Genomic DNA, 18404 nt, shown 5'->3' with positions numbered 1-18404 from the left:
CAGAATAACATTAATTGACATCATTTTATATAAATTGCTTCAATCACACTCTATGTATTTCAAAAATGTTTTTTTATTTTTATTTTTATTTCTATATTTTTAAACATGCCACTTTGCATACTCTTCCAACTCTTTTCAATTATGTTTTCCAACAACACCTTATATTTTTCTTGATGTTCTTGCCACAAAGTCATCTTTCCTTTTTCATTTTTCTGCAGTTTATCATTCACACATTCTTTACTCCTTGGCCTAAGACACAACATCTTTTGGAATCGAACTTCTCTATGCTTTTAAAATATCCTTTTTCCTGACTCGACTTCACTTCCAAATTACTTACCATTTACTGCTGAGTAATTCAAAACAGGAATCTGTTTCACTGTTGTTTCACAATATACCCACACACCACACAGTCTGGAAAAACTCAGCTGATAATGATCTCTTAGAAGGAACTAGTGACTCCCCAATAGATATATTCATGACTTTACTTTTTAAAATTATAGAATATATTCATGACTTTAGTTTATAAAATTATAAAATGTCACCCTCTACCTTTTCCTTTCTTAATAACTGTATTCATCCAATTTTTCATACTTTTAAGAATATTCTTTTGTAGATGCCTTTGTTGCTTCTTCCTGTAATTGCTTTTTAATGTTAAGTTCCCCGCTATTTGAATATCACCTTTCTCTACTTTTGCTTAGCACTTTGCCTTTGATAGTATCACGTAAGGTCAGAGTTTCAATTTTGACTTTTAAGTTGATGACGACTCCTAAGTTCATATCTTTAAGCCTTGATTCCTAACTAGCTTTTAAATATCTGAATGTAAGCATTCTGCCAGTTCCACTCTCACAGGCCAGAAGTAACCTCAGTAACGCCTTTTCCAAGTCTGCTACTCTGCCTTTACTAAGGTTTGAGTCACCATCAGTTTTTCTCTCTAATACACTTCTCAAACTCTGTCTCTTATGCTCTTATATCTTTTTCTTACCTCTTATTTTTGTGATCTCTCTTCTATTGCCAATGCTTCTGAACCAGCGGTCCCAACCTGTGTGCCAGGACTATTGTAATAGTTTCCTAATTCCTGCACTTACTTCCAATCTCATGTTTTCTAATCTATGATTCATATAGCCATCACATTTCTCTTCTTAAACAGAATGAAGTTGACAGTTTCCTTCTTCAAATGCCTGCACTGTCTTCTATTTCACAGAGAGTGGTACTCAAAATATTTGCCTGGCATTTAAGGTTCTCTCTTATCAGGTCACCAAAAGCCTTCCCACTAAAGGTAATCATCATACCCTGCAGTTACTATTCCTTAAATATTTCATCTGCTTTCCCATCTCACTGATTTCATTTATGTCATTTTCTCATATGATTTTATTCCCTTAGCTATCCCCATCATTTGTTAATTATCACATCTTCCTGAATGTCCAAAACCTAGTTATATCCCTTTTTGGCATTCGCACACTTTGGACCCTGTCATAGTGCATATTGTATTAAATGAAATTAAATAAATTTAAAAATATTTATGTTTTCCAAATAGATTTGGAACAGTGGAAGCATGGCTTCTTGTTAAGATAACAAAGATCCATGGTAGGAATTAGTTGCCAGTGGCACAGTTATGATTTTAAAAGCACTGTAAAAATGGTTATATTTAATCTTTACCTGGAATCTTATATTACTACAATTAACAATTCATCACGAATAGTTTTTTCAATTGTGTTAATTTTGAGAAATTAATGTGGAAGTTTCAGGGAACAAAACTTATGTGTATGTCTGCAATAAAATATGTCTATATTTCTAGATCTGAAATATATTTAACATAATAATAAAATTTCCTGACTATACAACTTAAATTATACATGAAAAAGAAAGTACTTTTACATTTTAAAACAGAATTGAAGTTTGAAATGGTAGTAAATATATGCTGCAACACAGTGTACTCTGACAGAGCAAAGTTGTATTCTGCCATTAAATCCCAATCCATCTTATGTTTCATCAGAAATAACTCTGCTGTATTTATGTTTCATATAAATCACACAGATATAAATAGTACTTTCATATTAAAATAGTAAATTAATATTACAAATAATAAGTAAAAATAGTCAACACAGCTGGAAATGTCCTCACTGGCCATTGTGTTTCCATCATTATGAGGGAGTTACACTTAACAGTAAATAGCAAATAGATGATTCCTTTTACTAAATTTTACTTCCATTGATGGAGGTTGTGTGCCATTTGTAGCTTTCTTCTGTCAAGCATTCCTTTAATGTGTTGCATTTTATCTTTTTTACTTAACAGTAGTAGTTTATAACTCTGGGTTCTAGCTTTAGATGTGTCACCCAGTTATCTTGCACAAGGCATTTCATTAGTATATAGTTCAATTGCCTCATCCATGGTAAGTTAGATGTGAAGATGAAGCTATAATGAATAAGTTGGTCTTAGTAAGAGTCTTGGAGACATTTATGAATAAGTTGGTCTTAGTAAGAGTCTTAGAGACATTAATGAATAAGTTGGTCTTTGGAAGAGTCTTGGAGACATTTAGTCAAGTTGTGTGTGCATATGTGTGTGGGGTGGGTGTGTGAGAGAGAGAGCAAAAGAGAGAGTGGGAGGGAATCAGTGAGAAAGGTGTAATTAAAATAATAAAGTGTTTTTAAAAGGGGGAAGAATAATTAGCTAAGTTAAAAATGCATATACAGCAAGAAACATTTATTACATGGTCTTATATACTCTCCCAGTGTTTTGCACACTTACACAATGGCAGGTAACTACTCTGTCATACTTATTCGTAGTTTGTCTTCTTAAATAAATCACCATTTGGCCCTTTGACTCAGAATATTGGTGACAGTGGAAATGGGCAAGTGCCTGAAGTTGAGTTCCATTTCTCATTTGCTTTCCGCAAGAACAAATGAAAATCCACAGGTTTTGTGAAGCAGATTCTCTTTATTGGTAGTCTGGAGGCCTTACTAATTAGCATTTAGCTATAAGTAATGCAAGGGTAGCTGGTATTAAGTAGAGTTCTGTGTGATCTCTTATTTCATTGCTATGTTAAAAGAGAGCTTGGGGAATAATCAGTGTACGGACTATGTTTTCTGGAAATTACATTAAAACCTTTATTCGTACTTTAAGGGCAGAATCATGTTTCCATTTATTTTTTTATAGTTCTAATCTTGTTTATAAAAAGTTTAATAACAATTTCCAACACAGTCATTTTCAAAGGACATTTTCAAAACCCTCCTATGTCATTTCTTCTCTTGATTATGTTGTTGTTCTACTTCTTATTTCTGGGGTCTTTTATGTTCTAACAGAACCATAACCCTATATCCTCAAGTGGGAGTTAGGGGATTGCCAGTGAAGTAAAGGAAGCTAAAAAATTAGAAGCACATTCTCCGCAGTCTCTAATTCATCCAAAAAATTGCTTCTTTCTCCAGACAATATTTGTCACTATGGCATTTAACCCAGGGTTAGAGCTTTTGTTTTCTACCACAAAGTGGTTGGATTTCCTTCCTAGTTGCCTACATTCTCTTCTCCTCATATTCTCCCATCCCTTGTCACCCTTGTCCTTGGATATTCCCAGATAAAACCCACCTCTACCCTTCCTCAATGACTCAGAAAAAACCCACCCCCGTTCTTCCTGATGGTTCCCACATGATTCAAATGAGTTTCTTCTCAGCCTCTATCAAACCCTGAATCCCCTTTGTTTTGAGATATTTCTTATTAATGAATGTTTTTTCTTTTGCTATAGCCTGAGTAAAATCATCTTGTTTGTCCAGTGCATTCTGTTTTTTTTTATATCTGCAACAAAGTTAAAATTCCAAAAAAGTTTTCTCAACACACCTATAGCCAAGAAGGTATTTGTCTCTTGTCTCTCACAGAACTCATGAGAATGCCTTAATGGCATAAGGCAATATTTCATTGAACTGGTGATGTAAAAATATGAAAAACATATTTTTGTGTGTGGATTTGTGGCATTAAGTGTTAAACGAAAAACTGAAATAGAAAGAGTGAGGAAATTTAACATATTAAAGTAATATGCTACTGTTTGAAAGATACACACTATTTTCTGAAATTAATGAGATTTATCCAGTTTTAATGCTCTTTAAACAGAAACATTGAGTGAAAATCTTGCTAACAATAGAAAATTTAAAATTTCTTACCAAATTTCTTTCTGAAAAACATCATGAATATGAAGGTTTATTGGATATTTCTGTAAATGTATTGTGGAAGAGATAATTCTTCATTTAAAGTATGTATTATCACTGGCATGAAGTAGGATAGTTAGGTTCAAGAAACAAAGCCCTGTAGAAATTCATTCACTTCAGTAGAAGTTAAGAAATATATAATGTTCTTATGTTTCATCCTAAGAAAATGTATAACTAATTCATCATGTAAGAACAGCCCCCCGAGAATAACTTGTGTTTGGAAATGGCCTCAGTGGAATTACAAAATTGCTAACAAAATTAAATCTCATTATACCATTTAAGCACCTGATTTATATGATGAAAGAAGCCAATATTTGAAGACATCTAGAATCTAATAGACTAAATACTAATACTGAGAAATTTATTTTAGGTGGATTTTTCCTTACAAATTGTTATTGGCCACGCACTATGTTAATTTCATTGTATAAATATCCTGGAAACACCAAAGAAAATTTAAAAAGCAAAATCCTTGTCCCTGCAGGGTCATATTGTACATTCCAGAAAACAAAAACAGTAAAAAAGAGAAACAGAGAGGAGTGAGATATGGTTATTGCCAAATGATTGGTTTAGAAAGCATTTGAAAAAGTGCCATGAATACATGACATAATGTAAGTAAAGAAGGAAGCAAAATGCCTGGTGTTTAATGAGTGGTCAGTACATGATATCTGAAAACAGTCTTCTCTAACGCTAGGAAGACCATCTAGAGAGAAAGAATGTAAATGCTACTTGAAAGGAAAAGAACCTGATTGAGGAGGAAACACCAGAAGACAGAATCCTACATAGCGAAAATAGAAAAAGCTAAGATATTGAGAAACGACATGTATAACATGAACATTTACAGTTCTTAATTAAATCTCATGTCCTTCACTATGTTTTAAAGATGGGCCATAAACCCATGGACAAACATAAAGCCATAAAATCATTATCCTCCAGGGCGTGCTTGGGTTTGAAGTGGACTTGCCTGAATGGACATGTACTTTGAAAGAAACCCTAGAGGGTCTTGTTCTTCTTTTCACATGAAATTCATGGGATTTAGTAAGCAATTTGTAGAAGTAGTTGGAAATAAATGTGTATAAGTACATGACAGAAAATGCAGGTCAGTAAATATCCAGCTAAGAAGTGTGGACTGGAGGCAGAGGGAAATCACAATAGTATTTTGTGGTAGGGCAAAGGCAGAGTGATGTGTTGGGGATATATATGTCAGTTATGTCATTTGGTTGGTTGGAGGGAGGGGAGAATCAAAGCAAGGAAACCAGTTAGAAGACACTTGGAATATTGAAAATGCCTAAAACTAAGCAAACTCACCTGAATATCTTCACAATTTACAAGTAACAATGTTGCTGCTATTTATAAACCAACTACAGTGTTCCAGTTTTCTATTGCTAAGTAACAAGCCCATCCACACATATTACGCTCGGTGATGTCATGAGTCATGTATTCAAAAAAGGTACAATGGGGCCTTAGCTTGGATGATTTGAACAGCTCAGGTGACAACATTTGGGTAGTGGAATTATTTGGAAGTTTTTCTCTCATTCTGGTACCTGGGCGGGGATGACCTGAAGGCTGGAGACAGCTGGGACTATGGACCAGGTCACCTAATTGAGGCAGGACCTCCTCATGTAGGTTGGTCTTCTCAGAATGTGGCATATGGATTCTGAGGAAGACACTATCCAGAGGAAACCTGTGGAGAGTGAGTGAGCATTCTGAGAGATCTAGGTCAAAGTTGCAAGGCCTCTTCTGACCTTGCCTCAGATGTCAAAGGCAAGCAGCATTATTTCTTCTCCATTGTCTCCATCAAACACTCACCCAGATTCAAGGGAAGGGGACATAGACATCATCTTTCAATGATAGGAATACCCAAGAATTTGAGCCCATGCTTTAAAGTGCCACATATAGATAATCATGGAGAAAAATGTGTTATAGTATGAAATAAATGCAGCATTAGCAAGTCTTTTCAAAGAACCTACTAAAAATTGCATAGTATTTATTTTTGACATTACTCATGCAATTCTATTAATATAATAGTGATGGGGTTCAGAACAAGCCAAATCCAAAATATTGGCACCTTGATGTTTGATAAAACAGCAGAAGCAGGAGGATCATTTTCACTGCCCTCTACCTTTCTCCCTAGAATCAGGTCATGAAACCTAGGAAGAATTTTCTGACCTTCCCCTGAAGCAAGTCAAGATTCTCATTCAAGAGGTGCCCTCCCTATACCTAAAGAAAATGAACATCTTTATCTCTGAAGACACAGGGACATAGAGAAAAAACTGAACAAACAGGCCATCCTAAGTTTGCCCTAGTTAATTACCATTAGACTATACCCCCTTTTCCAATCATACCTCCCTACAGCTGTCCACTCTTCATTAAACCTAAGCATAAAAATGGTTTCTTCTCTTTCTCTGGGTCTTCATTTCTGAAGGCTCATGTGTTATGTACAACTTACCTTAAATAAACTTGTAAACTTGTCTCCTTTTAAGTTGTCTTCTGTTATAGGGTTCTCAGCCACAACCCCAGCAATAGGTGAGGCAAAAATTTCTTCCCTGCCATCCCCCACCTCCATAATAGTCACAATTAGGAGTCATGGAATGAGCAAAGTGATATTAGCAATGCTGAAGTAATAAAAAACACTAAACAATTAAAAGCCATTTTCTAATTCAAAATTATTTTATCGGGAGCTTAAGGGTTTAAAAAAACATTTAAAACACTGTTTGGTATTTCTTAGAAATGAATGTTTGAAACTACAGCTGGTCTTCTCATGCAAAAAGCATACAAATTAAAAATGACATAATTAATTATCCAGATGCTTCAGATGTCGGCATTTGCCATCACTTTCGCCATATCACCACTCATTTAGTTCAAATGTTTCATTGCACTTAGGTGCTTGGGGTCGCAAATTTAGGTAGAAAATTTGGTTCACTCTCAAGTCTGCCTATCACCATATGTTTTGCTTGGGCATGAAAAATGAGAAGAACCTAAGCCTTTGCCACGGAGTCAGGTAAAGTGTTTCCATCAATGGCTATTAAGTTTGAGTAATGGGGTTTTAAAGAGACAACTTGTAGTGTTGCTCTTTAGGAACCTCGACAGCAATTGTGCTTTAGCTGCAGGTTCTATGATCTAACTGTAGCTTTGGCTCCATGCAGCCCCTTGCCTGTGTCACCACTGCTTGAACCCCCTCTATGGTATACATCTGTTACCAATTCCCTTTCAAAGAGCATCTGCTGCCAGGAGAGGAAAGCTTTTAATATGTTGATTTATCATCATCAGATACAGGGTTTTTATTGCTTGCATTTGAATATTATATTTAAGGTGCTTTGTGATTACAGATGTTTTACATATAAATTGCTTTATATTAGGAAAACCTTTTATTCGGTATTTTTGAGGAAACTTCACATTCATGTGTTTTACATTTTAATATCTTCTGCATTGCTGAACGCTTGTGAATTGCTTTCTGTCCATAATGGTAGTCAGTATGAGCAACAGCATCTGTGACTGTTGCTGCTTCAAGGAGAAAATTAAATGTGGTTGTTTTTTCTGTTCTAGGGAGTCAGAGTTTATTAATTACTAAAGAAAACTTTGACTGTTATTTTATCCCCAAAAGGGACAGAGTAGGTCACTACAAAAAATAACTTCCCACTCCATAACCTTTGTAAACCAGAAAATGATGTCAGTCAAGTTTCTTCTTTTCTTTCCCTTGTCTCTTGCAGTCTTAAGAAAATCTGGAAGTCTTATGTACTGTATGGTCTTTGAAATAATAGCACCATCTACTGTCTGAATCTGAATTCATTCATCATGTTAAGGAAATGATGAAGATGGTAGAGATGGAGGAAGTGCTCTAAGTCATTTAATAATGTGACTCAAAGTAAATGAAAAATGTGAAAATTCTCACCTAAAGTACAAAAACAAAAGTAATCACATCAGGGCATAGTCACATTAAATACACATAGTGAATTAATCTTTTTCATTAAGAAAGACTATAAGATCATTCTGAAATCCATAGGAAAGACAATGTCTTTATTATCATCATTATTATTTTAGTTCTCCAGTGTCAACTTATTTTATATTCATTTAGATGAAGGGTAGGGGTGCAAGACGTAGACTCAAAATACCCTAAGGAAATCCCTATCTCTCAGCCTGGCATCATGATGTAAGCCTAAGTGCTCCGTTTCTGCACCGAGTGCCAGTCCGCTCTCAGGGAACACTTCTTATAGTGGGAGTTGCTTGTAGTCTTGCCTGTTCTCTGTCCTCAAGTCCTTCTCCCAAAGGAGTCATGGTATTTCATTAAAAAACTCAACTGTCTGTATAAATGATCATTGAAAGTACGTCTCAGGGCTCTCATAACAATAAGCCACTAGCTATTTGAAGAACATAGAGGGGAATTCAGGACATTCTCCAACCCTCCTTCATGCTGATTTCTTTCAATGAGCAAGAGGTCACTTGTCATTCTGCCTCAAACACAGTTATTTCCTTAACCTCATAACTCCCAAAGAGCTGTCTTGCCTCCCACACATCTATTGCTGGCTGCACATTGCTCTTTCTTCCTCTGGAGCTGGCAGCCAGCTATTCTATAGACAGCAGGAATTTTATGCTCTCTGTCCGGTTTATTATCTCTTTTCTAAATCAATTCACAAGGTTTATTTTCTCTATCTGGCCTCTGTTCCCTTTCCTCCCACTTCCATTCTACTTCACCTTTGATTCCAAAAGGAAACCCGAATTGAAATGCCTCACTTAAAATTTTTTTTAAATTTCGTATTTATAAATAGCCAATGACCTTTGCATAAAATAAATGCTTGGAGAAAACATGTATTCTCGCAATTGATTTTCTTATTCTGTTCAATTTATTTGAGATGCCAAGAAACATACTGAGCAGGAAATAAACAATGGGATAATTGAAATATCAACTATGATTCCACACTTATTTACTAGATATTAGTTACCTCTCCTCTTTCTGCCAAACTATATGAAACCCAATCCCGGACTTCAGAGGAGCTTATAGTCAAGTTGGTCATTCCTTATCCTCTTGTCTTTTTAAAAAGTTTCTTTGGCTGGGAGCGGTGACTCACACTTGTAATCCCAGCACTTTGGGAAGCCATAGGCGGGCAGATCACGAGGTCGAGACCACGTGAAACCTCGTCTCTACTAAAAATACAAAAATTTACCCGGGCGTGGTGGCGGGCGCCTGTGGTCCCAGCTACTCGGAGAGGCTGAGGCAGGAGAATGGCATGAACCCGGGAGGCGGAGCTTGCAGTGAGCCGAGATCGCACCACTGCACTCCAGCCTGGGCACAGAGGTAGACTCCATCTCAAAAAAAAAAAAAATAAGTTACTTTATTATCTGTTTATCTCCATTGTAGAAGCTAAATACTGGCCAACTAATTTTCTACTTAGTCTAGTCTTATCTTAGTTATTATTACAACTATTGCAGGATAATATTTTAAAATATTAACTCATTTTTATTCACTGGGAAAAAAATCATTGCTTTATATATGTGTTTCCTTTGGGGAGAGAGTGGCTGTGACTGGCAATTGATAAATTAATAGATCAATCAATAAACAAAGTCAATTGAGCCGCCAAATATATTTATTTAGAAAAACTTGTGGCAGAAAACAATAGTTATAAAAGTCAATACATTTAATGTGCCAGGTATTTTTTTGTTTGTTCGTTTTCTGAAAGAGATAAAGGATCTTGAGAGTCAGAAAGCCAAGCTCCAAAGGGAGCAAAGCAGTAAGATCATCCACAAGCAAATGTAGGTAATGATGACAAATGATAATTTAAGTGCTGGTTTCCCACTCAAATGAGGTTATAATTCAAAGGTTATGGAGAAGACTGGAGAACATTGGAAGAAGCGAGCTTGCTGGCAGTAGGCAAGAAAGGCACTTGTCTTGGGTGCTACATTTAAGGGGTACCAAAAAATTCAGTAATCAAGATAAGTAATATTTTAATGCAATGTTTCAAAAAAATCCACGACAAATGAAGTATCCAAATTTTAAATAAAGACAGAGACCTTAAGGGTGCGTGAATTTCTCTGACAGGACTACAAGTCATGACTGTATCCTAAGTGAGTCTCAGGGGAGGGGCAGTAGAAACTGTAGAAGATAAAACCAAAGATAGGCTTAGAAGGACTTGGGGGCAGCAGAGTTTTCCCTTACAGCCCCCATTCATCCTCATCATAGTCTAGGAAACTATGAGGATTTTGAAGAAGTCATGAAGCTCTAGCCAGGCAGGACAAGTTTGTTAGTTCCAAGAGAAGCTTGCTAAAGTTAAGAGACATTAGGATCATGGAGGGTAAACAGCTATGGATTTCATGAGGTTCAGAAGTCCTGAGGAAAGTCAGATGAAACAAAGGTTCTGAGCCTGAGACAAGAAGGATTTAGATGAGATGGTCCTAGCAACTGACCATGCTGTGAAGGTCACAGACTCAGAGACAGAAGCCCACGCTGATGAGAACATGGGGAAAGCAAAGCAGATGCCATCAGGACACAGAGAAAAGGCACACAAATGAGACCTGAGCCACGTGGACGTTTCCCCTATCACCTCACGACTGAAACCACCCCAGGAAAGAGAAAGAGAAGGAGAGCTACGCATTTGACTCAGTCATTACCCAAAGGAGAGTACATTTTAAATTGCAAGTGACCATGAATGGAAATGAGGGTTTCAAAAGGTAAATTTCATTTAATTTTAGCAATCTAAAATATATATTTTTTTCTATTTGCATTTAGTAACTCAAAGGTGTGGTCGTGGAACATCAGTATCAGTTGTCACCTTGGCGCAGAATCTTGGGAGCCACACTGTTGCAAGGAAGAATCTGCATTTTAGTTAGATTCCTTCTGTGAGAAAAATAAAAGTTCTACTATCAAAAGACCGCTCCATACTAATGTAGAAGAGGAGACAGACAGATAATACAACATGAATATTGGGTAAACATTATCAGAGTCCTGTGCATGTAAGGTAATGGGAAAGTAACTACAAAGCCTGGACAGAATTTCACACAAGTCTATTCAGAGTCTAGATGCAAACAATTAAAACTTATCTTACTTCTTTGAGAGATAAGACTGTCTCATCTATGCCTGTTGTAAGCCCCTAAGCTAGTTCTGGAGGTAAGTGTTCACAGTTTCAAGAGTCGGAAGGCTCACAAACTTGCATTGTAAAATCAAAAGATGAAGCCTTTTAATCAGGTCTATTGTGTTCTCAAGGAGACACTCTAAAAAGTGGAAGCAGAGTAGGCAGTGACCTCCTCCTTAAGGAAAATTTCATGTTTACTTTTAGTCTTCATCATTGATCTTCATATTAACATTTGAGAAGTACTATGTTACACAAGCAATTGAAATAAATAATTTGGCATTGCTCCATTTGTCAGCACTCAGGGCTATGACTACATGTGTAGGTTTAATGGTTCAATCAGATTTCCTTCTCAACTTCTGGGAGATCTCTAATTACATCAAGAAGACAATGGTCAAGAACAGGGTCATCAAACTTTTTGTAAAGAAACAGATAGTAAATATTTGGGGCCATATAGTTTCTTCTGTAACTACTCAACTCTGCTGATGTAGGGTGAAAGCAATCATAGAAATACATAATGAAATGAACCTGACTATGTCCCAATAAGACTTTATTTACAGCAACAGGCAGCATGCCCGATTTGGCTCACTGGCCATAGTTTTCCAAATTATCTTATAGAATGTTCTATGAAACGATTCTTCTAAATATAAGGCAGTGATAACTAAGGAATAGCTCACTGGCCATAATTTTCCAGATCATGTTATAAAATGTTCTGTGAAATTGTCCTTCTAAATATAAGGCAGTGGTAGCTAAGGAATAGGGTTTGCCTCTCTGCTATGATCATTTCATCATAATTGCTAAATTCTCTAGCCGTCTTGTCATATAGTCTTTGTGACTGTAGAGCCATTCATCTTTGTATTGTGCAGTCTTAGCACATTGAGGGCATGGCTTTGCTTTTCTCAATCCTAGGTTATAGCACTTAAAACACTCAAAATGCCCTTTTACTTACACTGCTAATGAAATTCCTTTCTGTCAGTTTTTTACATATTACAGATAGATCAGATGTAGCATCTTTAAAATCAATATAGAAATATTTCATATGTTAAGCATGTCTATTGTAAAACACTTGAAAAATAAGAGTTTAATAATGTTAAATCATAATGTAATAGTAGCAGTATCCTTTGAATATATAATGCTTTCTTGTTTCTCTTTTCCTCCTTTGTCCATTGACTGTTAAACAATTGGGTCAGGTAGATAGGAAAAAATATTTCTGGGGCTTTGGGAAACTAAGTGAGATGCCCAAAGTTATGGGGCAAATAAAAGTTAGACCTTGGCTCAAATCTTCATTTCTACTTCCTATTCGAACACACTTTTCACCACAACACAGTATATTTAACCAGTAATAGCACTATATATTAATGTGGTTGATAAAATCTGTAGTTAAAACCCACAATTTTCTTCTAGCAATGTCCTCAATTTCATTAGTGACTGAGACAGAACTGTTACATGTGTTTCTGTTTTCTTTTATTGCACTCTGTATCAATGCTCATTTCCCTTTTACCGAAATTTTTAAAATTTGTTTTCAATGAACTGTTATGTGTATTTTATTTTTATACAAATAAAATGGATTACCAATTAGCCAATAAACTTATTTCTTTCAGTAACTTACGTTCTTTGAGATACTCACAAGTGACTTAATTTACCCAACGACGTCCAAAATAGATACTAGTTTCACACTTCTCGTATTTTCAGTCTCTCATATCCCTATTCATATGTTGGAAATCATCTGCCCTCATTGTCTTTTCTTTAAGTAACTATTAGTTTACACCTGAATGTACATATCATTGAACTTTTAATTTTATTAGAAAGGTCTAAGTTTTTATCTGTGTTCTCTTTCCATGACTGTCCTATATATCTTGGCAAGATATTTAATGAAGTTGAAAGAAAGAAACTTTTAAATTCTGTGCTTGATAGTCCACCTTTAGGAATCGGGAAATCTGTCAGACGCAGTGGTAAATATGGATAAGGTATGAAAACAATGAGAAGGATCTGTATTCCTTTAGGTGGTGTCCTTTCCCCCAAACTACTCTTAGTTATTTCAGAAAAAAGAGTATGTTAGTACTGCAAAAATGACATTATAATGCAATTCCTTCTTGTTAGTACTAGTGTGATTCTTTTGATACTTGCATATAAAAGTCTCCCAACGTGTTTTTACTATAATGAATGGAAATGTATTCCCGCAAAAACCTTTTAACTTTCTGCTTAATGGGGGAATTCAAAAGGAAAGTGAAAAACTGAAAAAAGAGTGGAAACAGTCAGCTAAAATTGCAAGTATAGGTGCACAGCTTGTACGTATATAACAGACAGGTTGTGTCCCTGAAATAATTCAAGTTCCCTGACTGTATTGACTACTCATCTTATTTTTTTCATGTATTTTTGCCTTATTTAAGAACATTTAAGGCATCTAAAAGCCAGAATATGAATAATAAAATGTTGGTAAAAATAAGTAAGACACAAGAATCAAAAGTAGGGGAAAATAAAAATGGAAGTAAATACATACTGCTGGGTAAATAGGAGTAGGTAGTTATTACAGTTATTGCTGAGGTGAGAAAGTGGAAGAGAAAGGGGTGGCAGAGAACCAAATCCATGTATTCAGCCTGCATGTTCCACATAATTGTGATCATTGACCTTTAAAATAGATTGTGTATTTACTCACAGCTAGAGCAAAGAAGAGGAGCATGGCTATGATTATCACAGGGCACAGCTAAGCTACACCATCTTTTCTTTAGGTATTCAAAGCTGCATTACAACACTACAATAGAAAAGCCATAACATAGTATCTTAGTATTATGGACTGAATTGTGTCTCCTCAAAATTCCTGTGTGGAAGTCCTAACCTCCAATGTGATTACATTTAGAGAGAAGGGTTTTAAGGAACTAATAAAAGCTAAAGGAGATCTTAAGAATGAGGCCCTAATTCAACAGGACAAGCATCACAATAAGAAGAGGGAGAGATACAGAGATACTAGGAGTGTGTATGTTGAGAAAAGGCCATGTGAAAACACAGTGAGAAGGCAGACATCTACAAACCAAGGAGGGAGTTCTTACCAGAAATCAACGCTGCCACCACCTTGATCTTGGGCGTCCACCCTCAGAACTGTGAGTAAATAAGTGTTCATCGTTTAAGCCACTCAGTATGCAGTATTTGGGTTATGGCAGCCCAAGCTGATCAATAGACTCAGAAAAAGCACTATCAGCAATGTGGTAAATGAGTTATCAATTCATATTTCTACAGACCATACAACAATATTTTTTAAATGGCAGAGTACTAGTATTAGTTAATAACAGCTAAGAATAATACATAAAAATGATGCATGTAGAAGGCAATTCTTCATGAATCCAAGTAAATATAATCCTGATATAGTTTTGACATTTGCCCCCTCCAAATATCATTTTGAAATTTCATCCCCAAGATTGAAGTTGGGACCTAGTGATAGGTGTTGGGTCATGGGGGAGGATCCCTCATGGATGGATTGGTGCCATTCTCACAGGATTGAGTGAGTTCTAGTTCTATTAATTCATACTCCTCCTCTCTCTCTCTTGTTCCCTCTCTTGCCATGTGACACACCGGCTCCCCTTGCCTTCCACCATGAGTAAAACTTCCTGAGGCCTTACCAGAAGCTGAGCACATGCTTCTTGAGAAGCTTGCAGAACCGTGAGCCAATTAAACCTCTTTGCTTTATAAGTTACCCAGGCTCAGATAACCCTTTATAGGAATGCAAAACAGATGGAAATAAATCCCATATGTGCGTTGGCCCAACTCCATCTAAGGATAAAAATTAGAGAAAAAAGTAAAGGGCACCAGAGCATAGCCTCCAAGTGGGTGGACAAATAGGTAGATGAATGGATAGATAGATGGTTGGATAAATGGTTTTAAAAAATGTGAATTTACTTGAGTCAGCTTTCAAACTATAAAAAATATTTTGTTTTTATATCATTTTAAATGGCATTTGTTATTAAAATAATATTACATGGTAACTGTATACTTAACGTTTTGATGAACTGCCAAACTCTTTTATCCAGTGATTGTACCACTTTATATTCCCACCAACCACATATGAGGGTTGCAGGTTTTATTCCACTCCTAGGTATATACCCAGTAAAAATGAAAACATATGTCCACGAAAAAATTTGTAAATTAATGTTCATAGTATTATTATTCATAATAGCCAAAAAGTGAGAATAACTTAATGCTCATCAGCTCATAAATGGATAAGATGTAGTTTATCCATACAGTGAAATATTATTTATCAATTAAAAAAGGAATGAGATACTTATCCATGCTACCACATGGATGGACCTTGAAAACATGATGCTACATGAAAGAAACCAGACACAAAACTACTTAGGACACTTGAAGTGTCCAAAATGGAATGGAGCAGGAGTAGGGAAATAAATAAGAATTAACTGTTATGGGACAGCATTTATTTTGGGGTGGATGGCAAAAATGTTTCTAAAATTAATGGTAATGATGGTTGCACAACCCTTTGAATATAATAAAGGTGAGTCATGCACTTTTAAACAGTGAATTACATCTCAATAAAGCTTTTTTTTTAACTTTAAAAAATAATATAGTGAATATTTGGAAAATTTTAAAATCGGCTGTCATTTCAACAAGACACAAGTGATCACTTTTTATTTAGTCTTATTTTTGCATATGTATGTTATTTTCTTTAAAAACAGACAAAACATTTTTAGCCTTTCTTTTTTGTTCCCTTTAGAATATACCAGGAGAATTTTCCATTACCATCAACCATTATTCTGTAGGAATTCTTGATGAATTTTCAAAGGCTTGGCAGAATCTTCTATGAAGGGCAGCAACTCGTATTAGCTCTTCACATTAATAACCTCTCTTATTCTCACTATTCTCTGGGAATCTTTATATTGTGGGCTATCATTATTAATGGAAGTGGAACCTTTGACTGTAGAAAAAAATCTTGAGAGTCCACTAAAGACTAATTACAACATGGTTGTGTTAATCAGTCTATCCACCTTCTCTCCCGGGAATTTATTTGGATGTCCAGATAGATGACACAGTGCACTAAAAAATGTATTTGAATTATATGAATGTAATACTCACAATTAGCTGGTCATTCCCAGGAGGGGAGAGGCTCAAGCAGGGGTCTGATGGGAAGGCAAGCCAAGATTCAGGTTGCAGGGTAGGGGGTAGCCTGGGTTTTCATTGAGGGTGGGGAGTAGAGCTGGGATAGGAATTCCCATTTGGGCTGTAGGCTGTACTATTTAAAATTCCCTCTGGCCTGCTGAAGTCTGTGTGAGCCTTTTTATCCTGGTTACCCAGATATAGAGCAAGCAAGAAAGAGTAATGGGAGTCTAAAAACTGTCCACAGTCGAACATCAAAAATGGAATTGACTTCTTTAATACAATGGCCAAGCTAACCTTTTATCAAGCATTTTTACTCCATGAGCTAAAAATCAACCATGCCAGTCACAGAAATATTTCTATAATATTACTGTAAAATGCCTTATTAGAGGCAATATAAACTCCTTTTAAATGTCTGAGCAAATTAAATATAATATATATTCCTTAAGTAATCAGACAAAATAATTTATTATATAGGTCTGTTGACCATGAACTAAATAAAATTTGAAGGTCACCAATCTAAGTAACAATTTTAGTTTCTGTCAAGCAAGCCCACAATGATTTATATATATGATCTGGTTCATAGAAAAATAGTGACAGAATCCTAGAAAATTGTATCAACTGCATCATCCATGCCACTGGAGTCAAACCCATAATTATAATAGCCACTCTAACCTTCTATAATATAACAAATCATCACACATAAGTTCTATAAGTAACTGTATTTTAGATGCCTGAGAGAACAGTTTACAGTACCAACTTTCCCTTATGTCTTATGAAATGTCTGCTTATTACAACTTACGGCAAATAAATGGGTAGTATATATTTTAAATAATACCAATGTTTCTGAAAATTGTATTATTGGTATTAAATTTTCTTTTTCTTTAACACCTTAGCCTGGCAAGTGAAGCCCTCCTTGAAGACACAGCTGATTTTAGCACCCTTAAACCTAATTCCCTTCCTACTGAAACTCGGGCATGTACTATATGTATTTCCCAAGTGCAGCATGCTGCAATGCCCATCAATTAATTTTCTTATGGTGCTTTTCCTGCCTGAAATACAAGTTCCTCCCTTTTCCATATGATAAACAACAATTTATAACTCATTTGGAGGGTTAAAGTTGAATATCATTTTCTCTAAAACCTTCCTTGATCACCCCAACAACTTGGGTAAGCCATAATCTTTCTTTTGTGTCTCTACTCTATGCTGTATATCTATAGATTTTGCTTGCTTGTATCTGTGGATTCTCTTTCAAGTCATAAACTCCTACAGTGTTGAGACTGTGTATTTTCTACTTATAACCAACACTCAATATAGTGACTGCTAGCTATCAAAAGGAAGGGAGGAAGGAAGGATAGAAGGAAGGAAACAACCTCACCAAAGGTTAAATTTCATTTTTATTTTGATAAAATTAGTCCCTTACTCTCCTAATAAATTTACTCACCTCTACAGTTTTAATGCTTATTTTCAAATTTATTCCATATGCAACTGAAATAAACAAAAGATGACCTCAAAACCACTGTGGTTTACCCCTTCTACTTTATTAAATTTCTACCCTTTCTAAGTCTCTATCACCACAATCTTGCTAAGGGTTCCCAGATCCTTCAAACAACCCACAGGTTCCTTGAGGTCTACTTTGGCGTCAATGGGGATTGAGCAATCTGTGGATTAAATCTCTCTCTCTCTCTCTCTCTCTCTCTCTCTGTCTTTTCTTCTTCTTTTTTTCTTTCCTTTTTACTGACCAAAGCTTGCTCATATTCTGGCATGTATTTGAGGGGTCATCTCTCAGCAGTTTGTATCAGTAAAAAGTGATCTGGCATCACACTGATTCATACAATATGCTTTCCTTCAGTCCATTTGCCTAGAACAAAAGAAGGGATTTTTAAACATGTAATCTCAGTGCCTTTAACAATGTGGTAAAAGATGTTTTCCAATTTTATAATTATTATCTATGTGGCATATATTTTATAATGCTGTTCAGCTATGTAATACTCTTATTACAATAATAATAGCAAATATGTATTATGAACATACGACAATAATATGCTTCTGA

General features: G+C 35.6%; 1 annotated feature.

Annotated features, from left to right (window-relative positions):
* Positions 9374–9874: an enhancer, noted in NCBI's record as "H3K4me1 hESC enhancer chr2:140546670-140547170 (GRCh37/hg19 assembly coordinates)". NCBI's record gives its function as "activates a minimal SCP1, AML or CMV promoter by ChIP-STARR-seq in primed H9 embryonic stem cells {active_cell/tissue: H9 hESC(primed)}" and the evidence as "EXISTENCE:reporter gene assay evidence [ECO:0000049][PMID:30033119]".

Source organism: Homo sapiens, chromosome 2 (genome assembly GCF_000001405.40).
Source record: "Homo sapiens chromosome 2, GRCh38.p14 Primary Assembly".
In the NCBI taxonomy this organism is placed as follows: Eukaryota; Metazoa; Chordata; class Mammalia; order Primates; family Hominidae; genus Homo; species Homo sapiens.
This window is presented reverse-complemented; position numbering and strand designations above follow the sequence as displayed.